The 19377-nt window shown below is 38.6% G+C and overlaps 1 protein-coding gene across 4 annotated transcripts in view; it reads left to right on the top strand.

Moving 5' to 3' along the window:
* Positions 1-19377, top strand: part of HEMK2 (HemK methyltransferase 2, ETF1 glutamine and histone H4 lysine) — a 309770-nt gene that overhangs the window by 1567 nt on the left and 288826 nt on the right. Inside the window, exons 2-7 of one of the 4 annotated variants that reach the window (XR_007067787.1) lie at positions 730-816; positions 1551-1641; positions 3848-3931; positions 5468-5609; positions 7310-7489; positions 11062-11188. Coding sequence is in view for 2 of the 4 variants with exons in the window: in NM_013240.6 (NP_037372.4) it covers positions 730-816; positions 1551-1641; positions 3848-3931; positions 5468-5609; positions 7310-7416 (511 nt within the window). In the remaining 2 variants the exon portion in view is untranslated. Of the gene's footprint in view, positions 1-729; positions 817-1550; positions 1642-3847; positions 3932-5467; positions 5610-7309; positions 11611-19377 lie in introns of those variants that run through there. The other 3 variants (NR_047510.3, NM_013240.6, NM_182749.5) reach the window with 3 other exon arrangements.

Genomic DNA, 19377 nt, shown 5'->3' with positions numbered 1-19377 from the left:
CAGCAGTGAGCTGTGATGGCACCACTGCACTCTAGCCTAGGTGACAGAGCAAGAGCCTGTCTCTAAAAAAGAAGCAACTTCCAAGATTATAGGCAAGAAAATAAATTTAATGGAAAGATAAAGTACAGTAGAATGAAGATTTTATAGTTAACAGCATTCTAAGATGGTTAACATTCAAAGATCAGATACTATTTTCCCAATTAGCATATAGCTGTCCAGAAAAAGAATTTTTGTCCTGCTCTATTATTGGGGGACCTTTTAATTCTCTAGGATATACTGATGGCTCTATGAATGTTAGGTATTAAAAATGATAGAGGAACTTTTTTCAAAAATAAATTTTGTAATAATACAAACTTTATTTTAGGAAATACTAAGCTAGGAGCTCCTTGTGCGAAGGAATGATGTCTTTCACATTAATATTTCCAACCCTAGATTAACATTTTTCCATACTTTTTAATGTAATGGTTTGTTGAAATTAACTGAAAGCCATGTTTGGTAATAGATAACTTTTATGGACTTATATTACGTACCCAAAATATTAGTAATTTTGAGTTATGCAATATTAAGTACAAAGTAGTTGTCAGAAATTATAAATTTCTATTTTCATATATTTGCAGGTGAGTGATGATGCTAGAGAAATATATATGCTAGAAATAACACTAGCATGAGAGTTTTCTGTGAAGAGTATTTTGATTCTACTATACTAATATTTATTTATTTTTTTTTCAGAGTGGAAATATGCCTGGAAGTAGGGTCAGGGTCTGGTGTAGTATCTGCATTCCTAGCCTCTATGATAGGCCCTCAGGCTTTGTACATGTAAGTATATCATATTCATCTAGATCTTCCACTGACAGGTTAACTATGATAACTCTAATGAAATAATTTTTAAAGAGACAGTATGTATCTTATAGTATTTAAGCATAGCAAAAACTCAGATTACAAACTATGCTTCCCTAAAAATTATTCATGTTCAAACTGCTCCATCATACTACGTAATTGTAGAAGCAGCATAATTTTAGATCATCTCTAAATTTGATTTCTTAGCTAAGTAATTTGATATCATAAGACATTTAAAGTTGCTTAAATTTATAGAAGATTGGGAATGTAGAAAAGTATAAAGAAGAAAATTAAAATCACCTATAAATTTTACCATACATGGTCCAACTGTGTTTCCTTCTGTTTTTTTTCATTTCCTGTGTTTTTAATTTAATTTCGTCTCATAAACATTTTCCTATCAAAAATTCCTTTTAAATTTCATTTTTGGTGGCTGCATAGTACTCCTTCATTGGATGTATAATTCATAAATTCCTTCAGATGTCTGTGCATGTATGTGTATTCTTCTACTCTTGGACATTGTATCAATATAACAGTCTTTTTCATCAATAGAACAAATCCTTGTTCTCTTTTTCTTTGCCATTATTGAATACGTTCTAATTTTTTTTTTTCTAAATCTGTTCTGTGTAGAATTAATGGAACATACCTTGATATTACTCAGTAACAGATTTGCCTTATGGACATAGGATATAGTTTCCTTCCATTTCTGTTTATAGGTGCACTGATATCAACCCTGAGGCAGCAGCTTGTACCCTAGAGACAGCACGCTGTAACAAAGTTCACATTCAACCAGTTATTACAGATTTGGTAAGATAATCTTTGTCCAGTAATAATTTTCTTTTCAAATAAAGTTAAGATGCTTTAGGTCAAAGAAACTTTGGTAAGTAATTAACTTTTGACCCACTAAGCAGTATACCATGTACAAAGTAAATTCTTTGTTGATGTAATCCACCTTTTCCACAATTCAGGCCTCTTTCAGTCAGAAGTGATAGTGAACCCAGTTCAAACTGGCTTAAATTTAAAAAATTAGTCCGGGTACAAAGGCTCACGCCTTTAATCCCAGTACTCTGGGATGCTGAGGTGGGATGATTGCTTGAGCCCAGGAGTTCAAGACCAGCTTGTACAATATAGTGAGAACTCGTCTCTACAAAAAATAAAAATTAAAAAAATAGCTGGACATGGTTGTGCGCACCTGTCGTGCCAGCTACTTGGGAGGCTGAGATGCGAGGATCACTTGACCCTGGGAGGTTGAGGCTGCCTTGAGCCATGATCGTGCCACTGCACTCCAGCCTGTGGAACAGAACAAAGCCCTGTCTCAAAAAAAAAAAAAAAAAAAAAAAATTGATGGCTTCAGCACAGCTACTTCCAGGAACTCTAAGAATGCTATAGACATCTTTTTCTTATCTCTGAACTTCTCTCTGGTGGCTCTATTCCTAGGCAGTCTTCCCTTCATGGTAACAAGATGTTTGCATATCTGTATCTTATTTCTGAACACCTTCCCAAGGAAAGAGGCCCTTTCTATTCAGTTACTCTAGAAGAGGCCCCAGAATGAGTGTTATCTGGATCAACTTGGGTTATGTGCCTATCTCTCAACCTTTTGCTGTGGCCAAAGGAGATTTGAATGTGGAGATGATTGGCTTCAAAATGCCTCATAGTTCCATCCCAGGAGCTGGATTGGGATAAACCCTACTCAGGCCACTTAGATTGAGAATGATGGGAGGTAGAGCTTCCCTAACAAAAGTCAAGGAAATTAAATCAGAAGAAAGGGGCAGTGGGTCCTCAGTAGGTAAAAACAACAAATGACAACTGCACAACCATTGTTTTAAGAAGTTAACAGCACACATTTTCAAGTGGCAGTTTTAAATTTGTAGGTTTTTAATTTATATATGTCAAATACCTTTTTATAGGCAAAAATAATAATAGCATGCACCAGGTAGACATATGAAAGGCAAAATACTTCTGTGCTCCTTAACTTGCACTTTTCTTACAATGACGAGGGTAGGTAGCTTTCCGGTTTTTTTTTTTTTTTTTTTTTTTTAAATAAATGATTTTGTAGCTTAGAAGGAATTAAGCCAAAGAGATAAGAAATTATTTTCATATTATTAGAAGTTGTTACTGCTAATAAAAGCTAGAATATCAAGAAAGGTACTCCAGTGATTTACATGAGATCAACGTGGTGATTTTTTTTTTTATTTAAAAAATTTCTTTCTTTCTTTTTTTTTTTGAGACACAGTCTCACTCTGTCGCCCAGGCTGGAGTGTAGTGGCGCAATCTTGGCTCACTGCAGACTCCGCCTTCTGGGTTCAAGCAATTATCCTGCCTCAGCCTCCCCAGTAGCTGGGATTACAGGCACCCACCACTGTGCCCGACTAGTTTTTGTATTTTTAGTAGAGACTGGGTTTCATCATGTTGGCCATGGGTTGGCGAGGCTGGTCTCGAACTCCTGAGCTCGGATGATCCGCCCGCCTCGGCCTCCTAAAGTGCTGGGATTACAGGCATGAGCCAGTGTGCCTGGCCTAAAAATTTCTTTAATGTTTCCATAATTAGTATAAGTAAGTGTTTTTGATAGAATGGTGAAACACCAGAGATAGAAGAGACTATAGAACAGTATCCAGTAAATAATGGTAGGTATCTGTACAGATATCGGAAAAATTGTGAAAATGTTAGCATATATAGTTGTAAACTTATATCCAAGTCTATACAGATTATACAGAATTAGAGTTTGCTTTCTTATTTCATTTTCTAAAAGTGAACCCAGAATATAAATATATGTGCTGTTGAGGAGTATAGGCTTTTTAATATTCATTCTGATAGTTTAATTTCCTTATTTTTATTTAATTGCATGTATTATTTTTCTGAATGAAAACATAAAAATACTTCATTTCTGTCTACAAGCGTAGCCCGTAACACATTATTTTCCCAAAAACATGGGAGATTATTTTTAAAGATTAATTTGTCAGTTATTTAATTCAGAGTTTAATGTAAAATTCTTACTGTTGTTGAATACATTTAGGTCAAAGGCTTGCTACCAAGATTGACCGAAAAAGTTGATCTTCTGGTGTTTAATCCCCCCTATGTAGTGACTCCACCTCAAGAGGTAAAACATACAACAAAATTTAATTATTAATATTTTCAATTATTTTGTTTGTAAAATCAAATGAATGTCATCCTATGACATCAGTCAGCTGCTGCTATCACAGACTACTCTGATTTTACTCCTAATTGTCAGTAATTGAGTCCTATTAAAAGACCTAGGAAAGGAACCTTAAATGATGGAAATACAAACTGTGACACATATCTATCCCTAAAAATCACATTCATATCAGGCCATGGTATTTATATTCATATATTCAAATATAAATGTACATATATATTACATGTATCCTTTATCATGAATAAAAAATTTGCAAAACAAAAGGTTTTAACTGGCCGAGTGCAATGGCCCACGCCTGTAATCCTGTACTTTGGGAGGCCGAGGCGGCAGATTACCTGAGGTCAAGGGTTCAAGACCAGCCTGGCCAACATGGTGAAACCCCATCTCTACTGAAAATACAAAAATTAGCCGGGCCTGGTGGCACACACCTGTAATCCCAGCTATTTGGAGACTGAGGCAGGAGAATGGCGTTAACCCTGGAGGCGGAGCTTGCAGTGAGCTGAGATCAAGCCACTGCACTCCAGCCTGGACGATAGTGCGAGACTCTGTCTCAAAAAAAAATTAGCCAGGCATGGTGGCTTGCGCCTGTAGTCCTACATACTTGGGAAGCTGAAGTGGGAGGATCACCTGAGCCCACAAGGTGGAAGCTGCAGTGAGCCATGATTACACCACTGTACTCCAGTCTAGGTGACAGAGCAAGACCCTGTCTCTAAAAAAAAAAAAAAAAAAAAAGAAACAATCTACAATGATAAGGATCTAAAGATTTTTTAATATTATATAAACTCCTGGATATTATTTCTAAAATATAATTAGATTGTTAGAGGAAACATGCTTCAGTGTGCCTTTATATAATATATAATAAATATATATATTTAATAATATATAAATATAATAAATAAATGCATTCCTTAGAAAAGATCTATGTGTTTCACACTTTAAACTACAAGAGGGCCAGATGCATTGGGACATTTTGAAACTTTGTTTCTGTACAGTAGGTCTCTTATAAAACAAGCTGTTCCTTCTAGCTTCTTTCTGTGTTAAGTACAAAAGCTACCCATGTCTCTCAATGTTAAGCATTGTATTAATAGTAATAACTTATTAAGCCCTTGATATACGCAGGGCAATGTTCTCAAAACTTTAAATATACTTCCTTATTTATTCCTAACAGTGGATAAAAATATTTTTTTATTAATAAAAACATTTTTTATCCACTTATTATTTTTCTAATTGTACATATGGAACTATTCTTTTTCTAATTTTACAGATAAAAGAGGAAAGTAATTCACAAACAGGATTACTAATTTATCCAAGGTTACACACTAGAAAATGATGAAACTTAGATTCAACTTGACTGCTCCTTCGTCAGCAGTAAAATGCAAAATATATACTTTTTTGGTGATATTACTTGTCAAAAAGATTCAGTTTGTGATCTAAATCAAACTTGAGTTAAAAGAAAACATTCTTTCTAATTGTTCACAGGTAGGAAGTCACGGAATAGAGGCAGCTTGGGCTGGTGGCAGAAATGGTCGGGAAGTCATGGACAGGTTTTTTCCCCTGGTTCCAGATCTCCTTTCACCAAGAGGATTATTCTATTTAGTTACCATTAAAGAAAACAACCCAGGTAATACAGACCAATTTATTGTTTAAGCATTTATGTTGCTGAAATCAAAAGTTAATAATGTAAAATGCTTTAATTTATAAGATAACCTGGCATGTTAATGAATCACTTAAAACAGTTAATCACTGACAGTAGCTAATACAGGCATAAATTTATGTTGAAAGAGAAAAGAGGTTTTCAGAGGTAAATTTTTCTGATTTTAAAAAGTATTATCTTCTCTTTTCCCCGTTTATAACCTAATATTCAAGTATAAAAATCTCTAATGTTTTTTTCTAACACCTCACTCTCAGTATTATGAATTTTCTCTCTACCCTCTAGTCTTCATGCCCTTGACAATTGTGCTGTACTCTTTAGTTCGTTAGGAGTTTTATCATGAAAGCTATTTAATTGTATAGATTTTTATATCTTTGTTTTCAGATTGCTTTATAACTAAATTGACCATAATCTTTCCTCTCTTTTTCTGTACACTTCAAGTTTGATTTTCAGCTTATACTAAAAGTCCTCAGCCCTTCAAATCACATGATTGCTAGTTTTCTCTTGTCTTTCTCCCTTCCTTCCTTCCTATTTCTCTCTTTTCTCTTTTTTTCCTTCCTTCTCTCCATCTTTCTTTCTTCCTTTCTTCTTTCCTTTCCTTTTCTTTTTCTTTATCTCTCTCTCTTCTCTTCTCTTTTCTTTTTTCCTTCTGTCCATCTTTGTCTCTTTTTCTTTCTCTTTCTCTTCTCTTCTTTTTTTCCTTCCTTCTGTCCATCTGTCCTTCCTTCTCTCTCTCTTTCTTTCCTTCCTTCTTTTTTTTCTTCCCTTCCTTCCTTCTTTCTTCCCTTCCCTTCTCTTCTTTCTTTTTTTTCTTTCCTTCCTTCCTTCTTTCTTTTTCTTTCTTTCTCTCTTTCTCTCTCTCTTCCTTCCTTCCTTCCTTCCTTCCTTCCTTCCTTCCTTCCCTTCTCTTCCCTTCCCTTCCCTTCCTTTCCTTCCTTCCCTTCCTTTCTCTCCCTTCCCTCCCTTCCTTCCTCCCTCCCTCTCTTTCTTTCTTTCTTTCTCTTTCTTTCTCTCTCTCTCTTCTCTTCTCTTTTTTTCTTCCTTCTGTCCATCCATGCGTCCTTTCCTTTCCCTCCCTTCCCTTCCCTTCCCTCCCTCCTTCCCTCCCTCCCTCCCTCCCTCCCTCCTTCCTTCCTTCCTTCCTTCCTTCCTTCCTCCCTCCCTCCCTCCCTCCCTCCATTGTCTTAGTTCAGTCTTCTTAGTTTTATTTATTTATAAGGAAGGTTTTCTTTTTTCAATATGCCTGAAAGAAATAAGCTACTTCTTTCACTCTCACTGTGCAATGTCACTATTCAGTTTGTCCACACCTTCATTGGCTTTTGTCATCCAAAGAGAAAGACATAGGGCAGAGATTGGAGCCAATCAACTAAAAAACTGATCACTTGCTATAATAACAATGACAATTAATGTTTCTGCTGAGTCAAAAGTAGGCTGTGACTGCAAAGCAAGCCATTTATTCTGATTAGACTCACCAGCAACACTTTGAAAATACCAAGTGCTCCCATTTAGCTGAAGACCAAGTTCACTTTAGTAGACATTTATTTGATATACATTGTTTTGTCAGATGAATACAATTTATAAATCATCTGTGTTTAACTTATTAAATTGCTTATTGATCATGCACACTACCAAATGGCTTAATGGATTTTACCTTTTGATTTTTATTTTAGAAGAAATTTTGAAAATAATGAAGACAAAAGGTCTGCAAGGAACCACTGCACTTTCCAGACAAGCAGGCCAAGAAACTCTTTCAGTCCTCAAGTTCACCAAGTCTTAGCATACAGTGTGTGCCCAGAACTACTGGAAACTGAATGCATTTAGCATATTTTGAAACTGAAGTCATTCATTAGGTAACAAGGAATTTTATCAGAAATTTGTCATTAAAAAAAGGTAGAAAGGTGGAACATTCCCTTTCAGTCAGGCCTATAGAATTATTTGCACAAGTACAAGTAAATATGTGTATTATATTTATAGTTTGCATTTTAAATATAAAAATTATGTATGAAATATTTATTTCAGCATTATGTGGTAAGGCAATGGAATTGATCTGGCAAATGTCTTTTTTTTCATACCAGTCCATAAAGGCAGTTTGCTTTCAGATGGCAGGGCCAGCAACACACCTTCATTGTCGTATCTCCGGTGTGTATCAGCTCTCCAACTCTATGTCATAATTCAGTTCATGGGGATCTTGATTACCTTTCCCTTCCACAAAATATTACACTGATTGGTTATATCGATGACATTATGCTGATTTGACCTAGTGAGCAAGAAGTAGGAACTACATTAGACTTAGTGGAAAGACATTTGCATCAGAGGGTAGGAAATAAATATGACTACAATTCAAGGGCCTTCTACCTTAGTGAAATTGGTAGGGATCCAGTGACATGGGGCATGTTAGGATATTTCTTCTACGGTGAAGGATAAGTACTTGCATCTTGCTGCTCTTAAAACCAAGAAAGAGGCACAATACTTAGTGGGCCTCTTTGGGTTTTGGAGGCAACATTTTCCAATTTCATTATGTTATACCAGCCTGTTTACCAATTGACTCAAAAAGCTGCTAGTTTTGAGTAGGGCCCAGAACAAGAAAAGAGTCTGCAACAGGTCCAGGCTGCTGTGCAAGCTGCTCTGCCACTTGGGTCATATGATCCAGCAGATCCAGTGGTGTTTCAGTGGCAGTGGCAGATAGGGATGCTGTTTGAAGCTTCTGGCAGGTCCCTATAGGTGAATCTTGGTTTAGGATTTTAGAGCAAAGCCGTGCCATTACCAACAAATAACTAGTCTCTTTTTGAGAAACAGCTCTTGGCCTGCTACTGGGCCTTAGTAGAGACTGATACTTAATGAGTCACCAAGTTACCGTGCAACCTGAGCTTCCCATCATGAACTGGATGTTATCTGAGCCACCAACGCACAAAGTTGGATATGCACAGCAACACTCTGTCATCAGATGGAAGTGGTATACACATGATTGGGCCTGAGAGGCCCTGAAGGCACAAGGAAGTTACATGAAGAAGTAGGCCAAATTTCCGTAGTCCCCACTTCTGCTACCTGCCTTCTCTCTTCCAGCCTGCATCGGTGGCTTCATGGGGACTTCCCTGTGATCAGCTGACAGAGAAAGAGAAGACTTAGGCCTGGTTTACAGAGTGTTCTGTATGATATGCAGGTACCACCCTAAAGTGGATAGCTGCAGCACTACATCTCACCTCTGGGCTACCTTGAAGGACAGTGGTGAAGGGAAATCCTCCTGGTGGACACAACTTTGAGCAGTCCCCCTGTTGACTTTGCTTAGAAGGAAAAATAGCCAGATATTCAATTATATGCCAATTCATAGGCCGTGGCCAGTGGTTTGGCTGGATGGTCAGGGAGTTCAATATAACTGGAAAATTGGTGACAAAGAAATTTGGAGATGAAGTATGTGGATAGACACTGAATGGGCAAAAAGGGTGAAGATATTTGTGCCCCATGTGAATGCTCACCAAAGGGTTAGCAAAAAAGGATTTTAATAAAGTGGACAAGATAACCTGTTCTGTGGATACTAGTAGGCCTCTTTCTCCAGCCACACCTGTCATCACCCAATTGTTTCATGAGCAAAGTAGCCATGGTGACAAGAATAGAGGTTATGCATGGGCTCAGCAACGTGGACTTCTACTCACCAAGGCTGACCTGGCCAAGGCTATCTCTGAGTGCCCAGTCTGCCAGCAACAGAGACCAACACTGAGCCCCTGATATGACACCATTCCCCAGGGTCATCAGTCAGTTGCCTAGTGGCAGGTTCATTACATTGATCCACCTCTATCATTGAAGGGATAGTGTTTTATCCTTACTGAAATAGATCTTACTCTGGATACAGATTCACTTTCCCTTCGCGCAGGGTGTCTGCTAAAACTACCATCCGTGGACTTACAGAATGTCTCATCTATGACCATGGTATTCCACACAGCATTACAAGAAACTCAGTTCACAGCAAAAGTGTGGCAGTGGGCCCATGATCATGGAATTTTCTTACCATGTTCCCTACTATCTTGAATCAACTGGCTACATAGAGCAGTGGAATGGCATTTTGAAGACAGTAATAACACCAGCTATATAGCAGTGCCTTGTAGGGCTGGGACAAGGTTCTCTAGAAGACTGTCTATGCTCTGAATCAACATCCAGTATATGGTGCATTTCTCTTATGACTGGGATTCACAGGTCCAGGAATCAAGGGGTCAGAATAGGAAGGACACCATTCGCTATTAGCCCTGGTGACCCACTAGCAAAATTTTTGCTTCCTGTTCCCATGACTTATGCACTGCTGGCCTAGAGGTCTTACATAGGGTGGAATATTTTCCACTGAGAGACGCAATCATGATTTAATTGAACTGGAAGTTTAAGACTGCTCCTCAGCCATTTGGGGCTTCTTATGCCTCTAACTCAATAGACAAATGAGTTACAGTGCTGGCTGGGTGATTGTTCCTGACTACCAAGTAGAAACTGGACTACCCCGAATGGTGGTAAGGTAAAGTATGTTGGGAATACACAGGATTCCTTAGGGCATCTCTTAGTGTTATCATGCCCTGTGATTAAGGTCAATGGAAAACTACAGCCTAATTCAGACAGGACCACTAATGATCCAGACCTTTCAGGAATGAAGGTTTGGGTCACCACCAGGTAAGTACCATGACCAGATGAAGTGCTTGCTGAAGGCAAAGGGAATACAGAATAAATGGTGGAATAAATACTAGCTTTGATCATATGACCAGTTACAGAAACACAGACTGTGATTGTCATAAGTATGTCCTCCATATTTTGCTATAACTACATTTTGTGTGTGTGTAGCTTTGTTTTCTTCTCATTTCCTTATTCTGTAACATAAGATGCATTGATTTTATAGCATAGTGTTTAAATATTGTTAATTTTTTTAACTGGCTCCAGTGTTCAACCTTGATTAATTTTACATCATAGTATTTAAGTTATGGGATATCAAGGAGAGAGTAAACATCACATGAAGACTTTACCACCTCTTCTGGGAAACGGGTTAGAGTGTTTCTGGTGGAATGCTGGATTGTTAATCGTGTTAGATGGAATTATGACCTTGTTGTTGTCTTTATGTGGCAGTTAAGTATGGTTTAAAGAGATGTTTATGGGTGCCAAGTTGACAAGGGTAAACTTGTGATGGTTAATTTTATATGTCAACTTGAATAGGCCACAGGGTGCCAAATATCTGTTTAAACATTATTCTGAAGTGTCTTGAGTGTGTTTACAGACAAGATTTGCATTTGAACTGGGGGACTCAGTAAAGGAGATAGCCATCCCCAAGGTGGGTGGACATCATCCAGTTTGTTGAGGGCGTAAATAAAATAAAAGGCAGAGGAAGGAAGAATTCCCCCCCCTTTTTTTTCCTGCCTCATTGTTTGAGCTGTGACATCTCATCTTCTGTCCTCAGATGGATTTACATCACTGGCTTCCCTGGTTCTCAAGCCTTTGGATTCAGACTGAATTATACCACAGGCCTTCCTGGGTCTCCAGCTTATAGATGACAGATCATGGGACCTCTTAGCCTCCATAATCATGTAAGCCACTTTCTTGTAGTACTGGTAAAAGATATATTAGACCAATCTATAAAACAGCTAGCTATGAAAGAGAAAGGTGACAGGCACAAGCCTAGGCAAATAGAGAAGGGTTCCTGGAGAGCCTCTGACTTGCCTAGGTCATTGTGCACACGTGGCTTGCCTGAATGAACATGCCCACTGTGAAAGATTCCATTTCTCAACACATGTGCAGTAAGGGAAATAAATCAATGTGGCTCAGACTAAGCGCCCACACATGGGGTGGAGCCACGAGGAGTTTGCTCCTTATGCAGGGGAGAAGCCGTGCCTCTTCAGCTCGTGTGTGGTGGCCTGGCATTCAATTTGTGAGGTGTAAAACCTGCATGAAGGACCCCTCTTTTTGTGGAGAGCTTTCCTTTTGCCTAATAAATTCTGCCCTCCTCGCCTTTCAGTGTGTACGCGTGCCTAATTTTTTCTGGTCATGTGATAACCCAAATTTAACTGAACTAAGGAGCAAAAAATCCTGCATCAGCTACATTAATAGCTGATTGTACTAGATTGAGTAGTGTCCCCCCAACAAAATTCGTGTCCAACTGAAACCTGTGAATATGCTCCTATTTGGAATTAGGGACTTTGCAGATGTAATCAAGTTAAGACAAGGTTGTACTTGATTAGGATGGGCCCTAAATCCAATATCTCTTGTGTCCTTGTAAGAACAGGAAAATCTGAACACAGAAACAGAGACATAGGGCCATATGAAGACAGAGGCAGAGGTTGGAGTGATGAGTCAATGAGTAAAGGAATGCCAGGGGTTGCTAGCAACTGCCAGAGGCTGGAAGAGGCAGGCAAGGATTCTTCCTTCAAGGCTTCAGAGGGAGCATGGTCCAGCCCACACCTTTATTTCAGACACCTAGCCTCAAGAACTGTGAGAGAATGCATTGGTTTTACAACAAACAGTTGTAAAACTGTGAGAGGATGTGTTTGTTTTACAACAAACAGTTACCCAGTTGGTGACACTGTTACAGTAGCTCTCAGAAATTAATACGCTGAGTACAAAGTTAAAAGCTAATTAGGAATAGACATGGACACTGATATGGTTTGGATTTGTGTCCCCACTCAAATCTCATGTTGAATTTTAATCCCCTAGTATTGGAGGAGGTGCATGGTGAGAGGTGATTGGATCATGGGGGCAGACTTGCTCCTTGCTGTTGTCGTGATAGTGAGTTCTTAGCGAGATCTGGTTGTTTAAAAGTGTGTAGCACTCCCTCTTCGCTCTCTTCCTCCTGCTCCAACCATGTGGACGTGCCTCCTTCCTCTTCACCTTGTGCCCTGATTTTAAGCTTCCTGAGGCCTCCCCAGCCATGCTTCCTGTACGGCCTGTGGAACCGTGAGCCAATTAAACTTCTTTTCTTTACCCAGTCTCAGGTAATTCTTTATAGCAATGCGAGAACAGACTAATACAGACACTAAAGAATGATAAAGGTTTACACTTTACTAAAATTGTGTCCAGGAAAATTGCTTCATACTATGTAAAATAAAGAAAAATACAAGTATAAATTTGCAAATTGATCATACAGGAGGATTTCAAATTGTCTGTCTCAATTAGTACTACATCAAGGAGACCAAAAAGGCAAAGAGGAGATTTGAACAATAGCAGTGAATTTGATATAATAGACTAATATAGAACTCTGAAACTAACAATCAGGGAATGCATATTCTTTCTCAAGCACCCATGGGATGTTTACAAACATAATTACGTATTAGACCAAAAGTAAGTCCCTGTAAAATTCAAAGAATCAATATGATATAGCTAATCTTCTCTGACTATAAAGTGTTTAGGTTATAAATTAATAACAAAAATAAAATTTTAAAGTCCCCATACATTTACAAAATTTAAAACATGCTTCTAAACAATTCATATGTCAAGGAAGAAATAATGACATTTTAGGCTGGGTGCGATGTAATCCCACCACTTTGGGAGGCTGAGGCAGGCAGATCACCTGAGGTCAGGAGTTTGGGACCAGCATGGCCAACAGGATGAAACCCCATCTTTACTGAAAATAAAAAAATTAGCGAGTGTGGTGGTATGCACCTGTAATCCCATCTACTCGGGAGGTTGAGGCAGGAGCATTGTTTGAGCTTCAGAGGCGGATATGGCAGTGAGCTGAGATCATGCCATTGCACCTCCAGCCTGGGCAACAAGAGCAAGACTCCGTCTCAAAAAAAAAAGAAATGACATTTTGAAAATTAACTGAACAGAGGGTGAACCCTAATATAAACTGTGAACTTTAGTTAGTAATAGTGTATCAATATTGGTTCATCAGTTGTAACAGATATACCACACTAATGCAAGATGCAAATAATTGGGGGGAACTGTGCTTGTGTTTGTGCAGTCAGGGAGAGGAGGTTTGTGTAAAGTCCATACTTTTTTTTGTTTTTTAACCTGTGTCTACAACAAAACTCTCTGTACTTCCTTATCAGTTTTCCTGTAAAGCTAAAACTGTTCTAAAATATATTTGAAAAGTCTTTTAGTATAAGAGAAAACCAAAACAAAGCAAACAAAAAGGCAACAACATAATGATAAACAAAAAATTCAGGCTAGTGCTAACCGGTTGGATGAGAGGAGGTAAGGATGACTGGGAGAAAGGCTAGAGGAGAACCAGGCACCCAGATAAACAGCATAAAGGGACTGGCAGTGTTCCAGTTCTGAAGTTGGCCAGAGAGTTTCTTGGGTATACATTTTATTATTTTAAATTCATGTGAACTGGGCCACGATCTTACAGTCTATGTTATTCTCATGTGCAGAGGTTCAACTGATGTACCAAGTTCTTTATTAGTGACACACTAAAAATTTATTGCTTATGCATTTTATAATCTAATGTGCTTTGTCCAGAGCATAGAAAGTGTTCTATTCCATTTAGTCATTCGGAGACTGAGGATCCCTCTGTTTTGTGCCACCATCACAGTCAGCCTGTAACCTCTAAGTCAGCGTGGATATGGAAAAAAGAGGAAGATTATGCATGAGAGATTTTCGAGCCAGTCCTGGAAGTAGCATAAGTGACTTCAAATTCCAGTGGCCAGGGCTCATTCAGGTGGTTCCAATATAGTTGAACTGTATGCCCAAGAAGAAGAAGTGGTTCTTATAATTCTTTCCCCTAAATAATTGTGTTAGACAAAAACCTTGATAACAAAACCAGATAAGGGTTATATAAGAAAGGAAAGTGACAGGCCAACCACATTCACATAGAGGAAAAAAGAAGAAAACTTCAACAAACTAAATCTAGCAGTATATATAAAACAGATGATACACTGTGACCAAGTTGAGTTTATCCCAGGAATGTAACCACGGTTTAATAGAAAAATCTATAAATTCCATTTATCATTCTAATAGGTTAAAGGGAAGAAAAATAACACATTATCACCTCAACAGATGTGGATATACGTTTGTTGAAATTCAATACACTTGGCAAACTAGGAAGAGAAGGAACTTTCTTAACCCAACATGGTCTGTATACAAAAAACTGTGGCAAATATTCTGAAAGTAGAAATACTGGAAGCATTCCCTATAAGAATCAGAAACGAGAAAATTGCCACCTATTACCACTCCTATTCAACATTTTCACTGGAAGTCCTAGCCAGCAAAATAAAGAAAAAAAAAAATGAAAGGGAAAAGGATAGGAAAATACGAACAAAATTGTCATCACTAACAGATGATATTATTTACCAAGAAAATATTTAAAAAACCACTGACTTATTATAATAAGAGGGCTTAGGAAAGTGGTTGCCTGTAATAACAATATTCAGAAATCATTTGTATTTCTATGCGTTAGTCCCCCAAAGCAGGAAAATGTATTTTAATAATACGACTAAAAATGATAAATAAGGCATCATGGAATAAATATAACGTGTACAGGACTAACATGCAATTTGATTAAAATACTTTTTTGTTTTTTGAGACAAGGTCTTGCTCTGTCACCCAGGCTGGAGTGCAGTGGCGTGAACTTGGCTCACGGCAACCTCCACCCCACAAGCTTAGGCAATCCTCTCACCTCAGCCTCTTGAGTTTCTGGGACCACAGGTGTGCACCACCACAACCAGCTAATTTTTTGTATTTTTAGTAGAGACGGGGGTCTCACCATGTTGCCCAGGCTGGTCTTGAACGCCTGAGCTCAAGCGATCCTTCCACCTCGGCCTCCCAAAGTGGTGAGATTACAGGCATGAGCCACCATGCACAGCCTAAAAGATATTTTAAATACCTAAGTAAATGGAAAGTTATTTTATGTTTATGACTAGGAAGATTCACTGTTATAAAGATACCAATTGTTCCTATACTTACAGTAAAATTCCAGTCAAAATCTCAAAAGTGTTTTTCATAAAACCGGAACAAATGACCAAGAACAGCCTAGACACTCCTAGATAATAGGAGGAGCATGAGAGAGCTTGAGCTACTCAGATGCCAAATACTTATTATTAAACAACAGTAATTAAGATAGTTTTATATTGACCCAAAGATAAATAAACTGAAACAGAATGGAAAGTCCATAAAGAAACATGTACATATATAGAAATGTGTATATGATGAAATGGAACTGCAGAACAAATGGAATAGTACTGTATAAGTGATTATACACAAAGGGAAACAATGAAATTAGATTCTTACCTCACACCATATACAAAAGTCCACTAAAATTGATTAAGTTGTAAATAAAAAGGTTGAATTTTAAATTTGGAAAAAATATAGGAGAATATTTTTATGACAATGGAATGGGAAAGAGTATCTATAAAATAAAAAAGAATCACAGACCCTAAAAGACTGATAAATCCAGTTGCAGTAAAGGGTTTTGTTCGTCAAAAGGCATTATAAAGAAAATTGAGGCTGGACGTGATGTAATCCCTGCACTGTGGGAGGCCAAGGAGGTCAGATCCATCTGGGCCCATCCATGTTACCCCCATAAGACTTGAGGCAAGGGGAAACTGATGAAACATGCTGTTGCTCATGCTAATTGTTGTATGAATACTATGAGTAATAAAGTTCCTTGTCTCTGACCCAAAAGCCTTGTTTTTTTCTGCCAACAGTGAAACTGTGGCAGACTAATTTGGGTTGCAAGTGGAGTAAAATCTCAGATCCTTTACATTTCTCGACAGTGCAGTGTGCTGCAATTTTCCCTTGTTAGAACTTCCTTTAGTTCTGCCTCACTGGAGTCAACAATTTTTCACTTGCCCTTGGTGATGGCACATTGGGATTTTTTTATAGATTATAAAAAGATTTTTATAAATGTCTCAAATTGAGTTTTCTGCTTAATATTTTTGTGCAACTTCTCCATGTTGAAGAGTTATTCACTCATTTTCACCAATATATTCCACTATTCATTTATTCATACTTTGGTCATTGAATTTTAGGTTGTTTCCAGTTTTCACTATTATGAATAATGTTGCTATAAACATCTCTGTACATGTCTGTTGGTACTCTAGTCAATACCTAGAAGTGGAATTTCTAAATCATACGGTACAATTATGTTTCATTTTACCTGATAATGCCAAATTGTTTTCCAGAAAGATGCCAGTTTACTTGCCAGTAGTGTATATGAGTTTCTGTAGCGCCATATCTTCACCAATATTTGGGACTGTTAGACTTCTTAGATTTTGCCAATCTAGTAGGTCTAATATAGTATTGATTTATATTTTCCTAATGAATAATATGGTTGAAATTTTCATATGTTTATTAGCCATTAGGTATTTTTGCTTTATTGTCATTTAAGCATTTTGTATCAGATTTCTGTTGTCTTTTTACTTGTTGATCTGTAAGAACTAATTATTCATATATTCTGGCTACTAATCTCTACATTTTGCAAACATTTTCTACTCAATCGTGTCAATTTTCTTTCTTTCCTTTTTTTGTTTTTTGAGACAGCATCTTGTTTTGTCACCCAGGCTGGAGTGCAGTAGCGCAATTTTGGCTCACTGCAACCTCTGCCTCCGGGTTTCAAGCAATTCTCATGCCTCAGCCTCCCAAGTAGCTGGATTATAGGCATGTGCCATCACACAAGCCTCTGGAGTAGCTGGGACCACAGATGTGCACCATCACAACTGGCTAATTCGTGTATTTTGAGTAGAGAGGGGAGTTTCACCATGTGAAACTAATGCTTATTAGACTGTAGAGAAGAATGTGTGCTCTTTATTTATTTTTTGAGATGGAGTCTCACTCTGTTACCAAGGCTGGAGTGCAGTGACATGATCTTGGCTCACTGCAGCCTCTGCCTCCTGGGTTTAAGCAATTCTCCTGACTCAGCCTCCCGAGTAGCTAGGATCGCTCTGTTGCCCAGGCTGGAGTGCAGTATTGTGATCTCGGCTGTCTGCAGACTTGACCTCTCAAGCTCAAGTGATCCTCTCACCTCAGTTTCCCTAGTAGCTGGGATTACAGGTACGGGCCACTATGCCTGGCTAATTTTGTGTGTGTGTGTTTTTTTTTTTGTTTGTTTTTGTTTTTTCTGTAGAGACAGGCTTTTGCCATACCATGTTGCCCAGGCTGGTCTCCAATTCCTGGACTCAAGTGATCCACCCCTGCCTTAGCCTCCCAAAGTGCTGGAAGTACAGGCATGAGTCACTGTGCCTGCCAAAACTTATACTATTCTTATTGGCCAATAAAAGGACAGTGAACTTTGATTGTGTCACTGCTGTCTAGCCCGGGTGACAGAGTGAGACCGTGTTTCAAAAAAGAAAAGAAAAGGGCAACTTTAGAATTTTGGAAGCCTGAAACAGTGGGGATATGTGGCTACAGTTTGATGATAGAGGAACGCACAGAGAGTTTTGGAGACTGTGAAGTATATAATACATCCTAGAATTGATAATGGCTAAATTGAGTCTAGAAAGGAGAATGGGATTCAGGCAAGTGCAAAAGAGGTGAGAGGGCATTCAGCAGAGGGAAGAGTGCATGGAAAGGCCTAGAGACTTCAGAGTCAGAGTCCAGCATATTCAGGGAGTTGCAAGTAGCTCAGTCTGGCTAGGTCCAGGGTTCAGGTGGAGGACTAGTCAAAGAGGAGTCTAGGATAGAGCAGGAAACAGCATTCAGTGCTCACAAATTATGGGAAAGGATGTAGTCTTTATTCTGAAGATGTGCTTCTAGAAGCGAGGAGTCAACAAAATCAAACGTGCTTTCAAAAGATCATTCTAGGCTGGGCGTGGTGGCTCACGCCTGTAATCCCAGCATGCTGGGAGGCCAAGGTGAGCAGATCACTTGAGGCCAGGAGTCCGAGACCCAGCCTGGCCAATAGGGTGAATCCACATCTCTACTAAAAATACAAAAATTAGCCAGGCATTCTGGTGTGCACCTGTAATCTCAGCTACTCGGGAGGCTGAGGGAGGAGAATCACTTGAACCCAGGAGGCGGAGGTTGCAGTGAGTGGAGATTGTGCCACTGCACTCCAGCCTGGGCAAGAGAGCAAAATTCCATCTTGAAAACAAAAACAAAAACAAAACAAAAGAAAAACTAAAAGATCACTCTGGCTGTGGGGAATGGACTAGAGGCAGGTTAATCAGGAGATGGAGGACCCTCTTGAGACTGCTGTGGTTAAATGAAGAGATGGTAGTGGCCTGAACTGAGGTTAAGGCTGTGGGAATGGGAAGGGGGAACATATCTGCATAGGGTAAGGAAGGGACGACGCTTGGTAACTGATTGAATACCTGTATCTATAGATTCTGTCTGTCTGTCTGTCTATCTATCTATATCATCTATCTATATCTATCTATCATCTATATCTACCTATCATCCATCTATCTATCTATCTATCTATCTATCTATCTATCTATCTATCTATCTGTCTGTCTGTCTTTCAGAGAGAGGTAGGAGTCGAGGTGACTTGTGGGTTTTTAACTTGGGCAGCTGAGAGAATAATAGTGCCATTCCCAGGAATGGAAAACCAGAAGGAGCAAGCTTTGTGGAGGGAGAGTAAAATGGAATAGGGGGAAGATGATAAGGACAACATGGGGGCAAGTTAGGATTGAAGTGAAACTTTTTAAGTGGACGTGTCCAAATGTTTATGCATATGGGTCCGGGTTGAGGAGAGAGGAAATGAACTAGAGTTATTGAAATAGGAGCTATTATCATATGAGGAGCGTTTGAAGTCATGTGATTGAATGAGCTCATCAAAGGACAGTCTTCATGGGACAACAAGTTTTCAGGAAAGATTAAGCTGGTGCAATGCTCTTTTGGACAT

This window comes from Homo sapiens, chromosome 21 (genome assembly GCF_000001405.40).
Source record: "Homo sapiens chromosome 21, GRCh38.p14 Primary Assembly".
Taxonomy (NCBI): Eukaryota; Metazoa; Chordata; class Mammalia; order Primates; family Hominidae; genus Homo; species Homo sapiens.
This window is presented reverse-complemented; position numbering and strand designations above follow the sequence as displayed.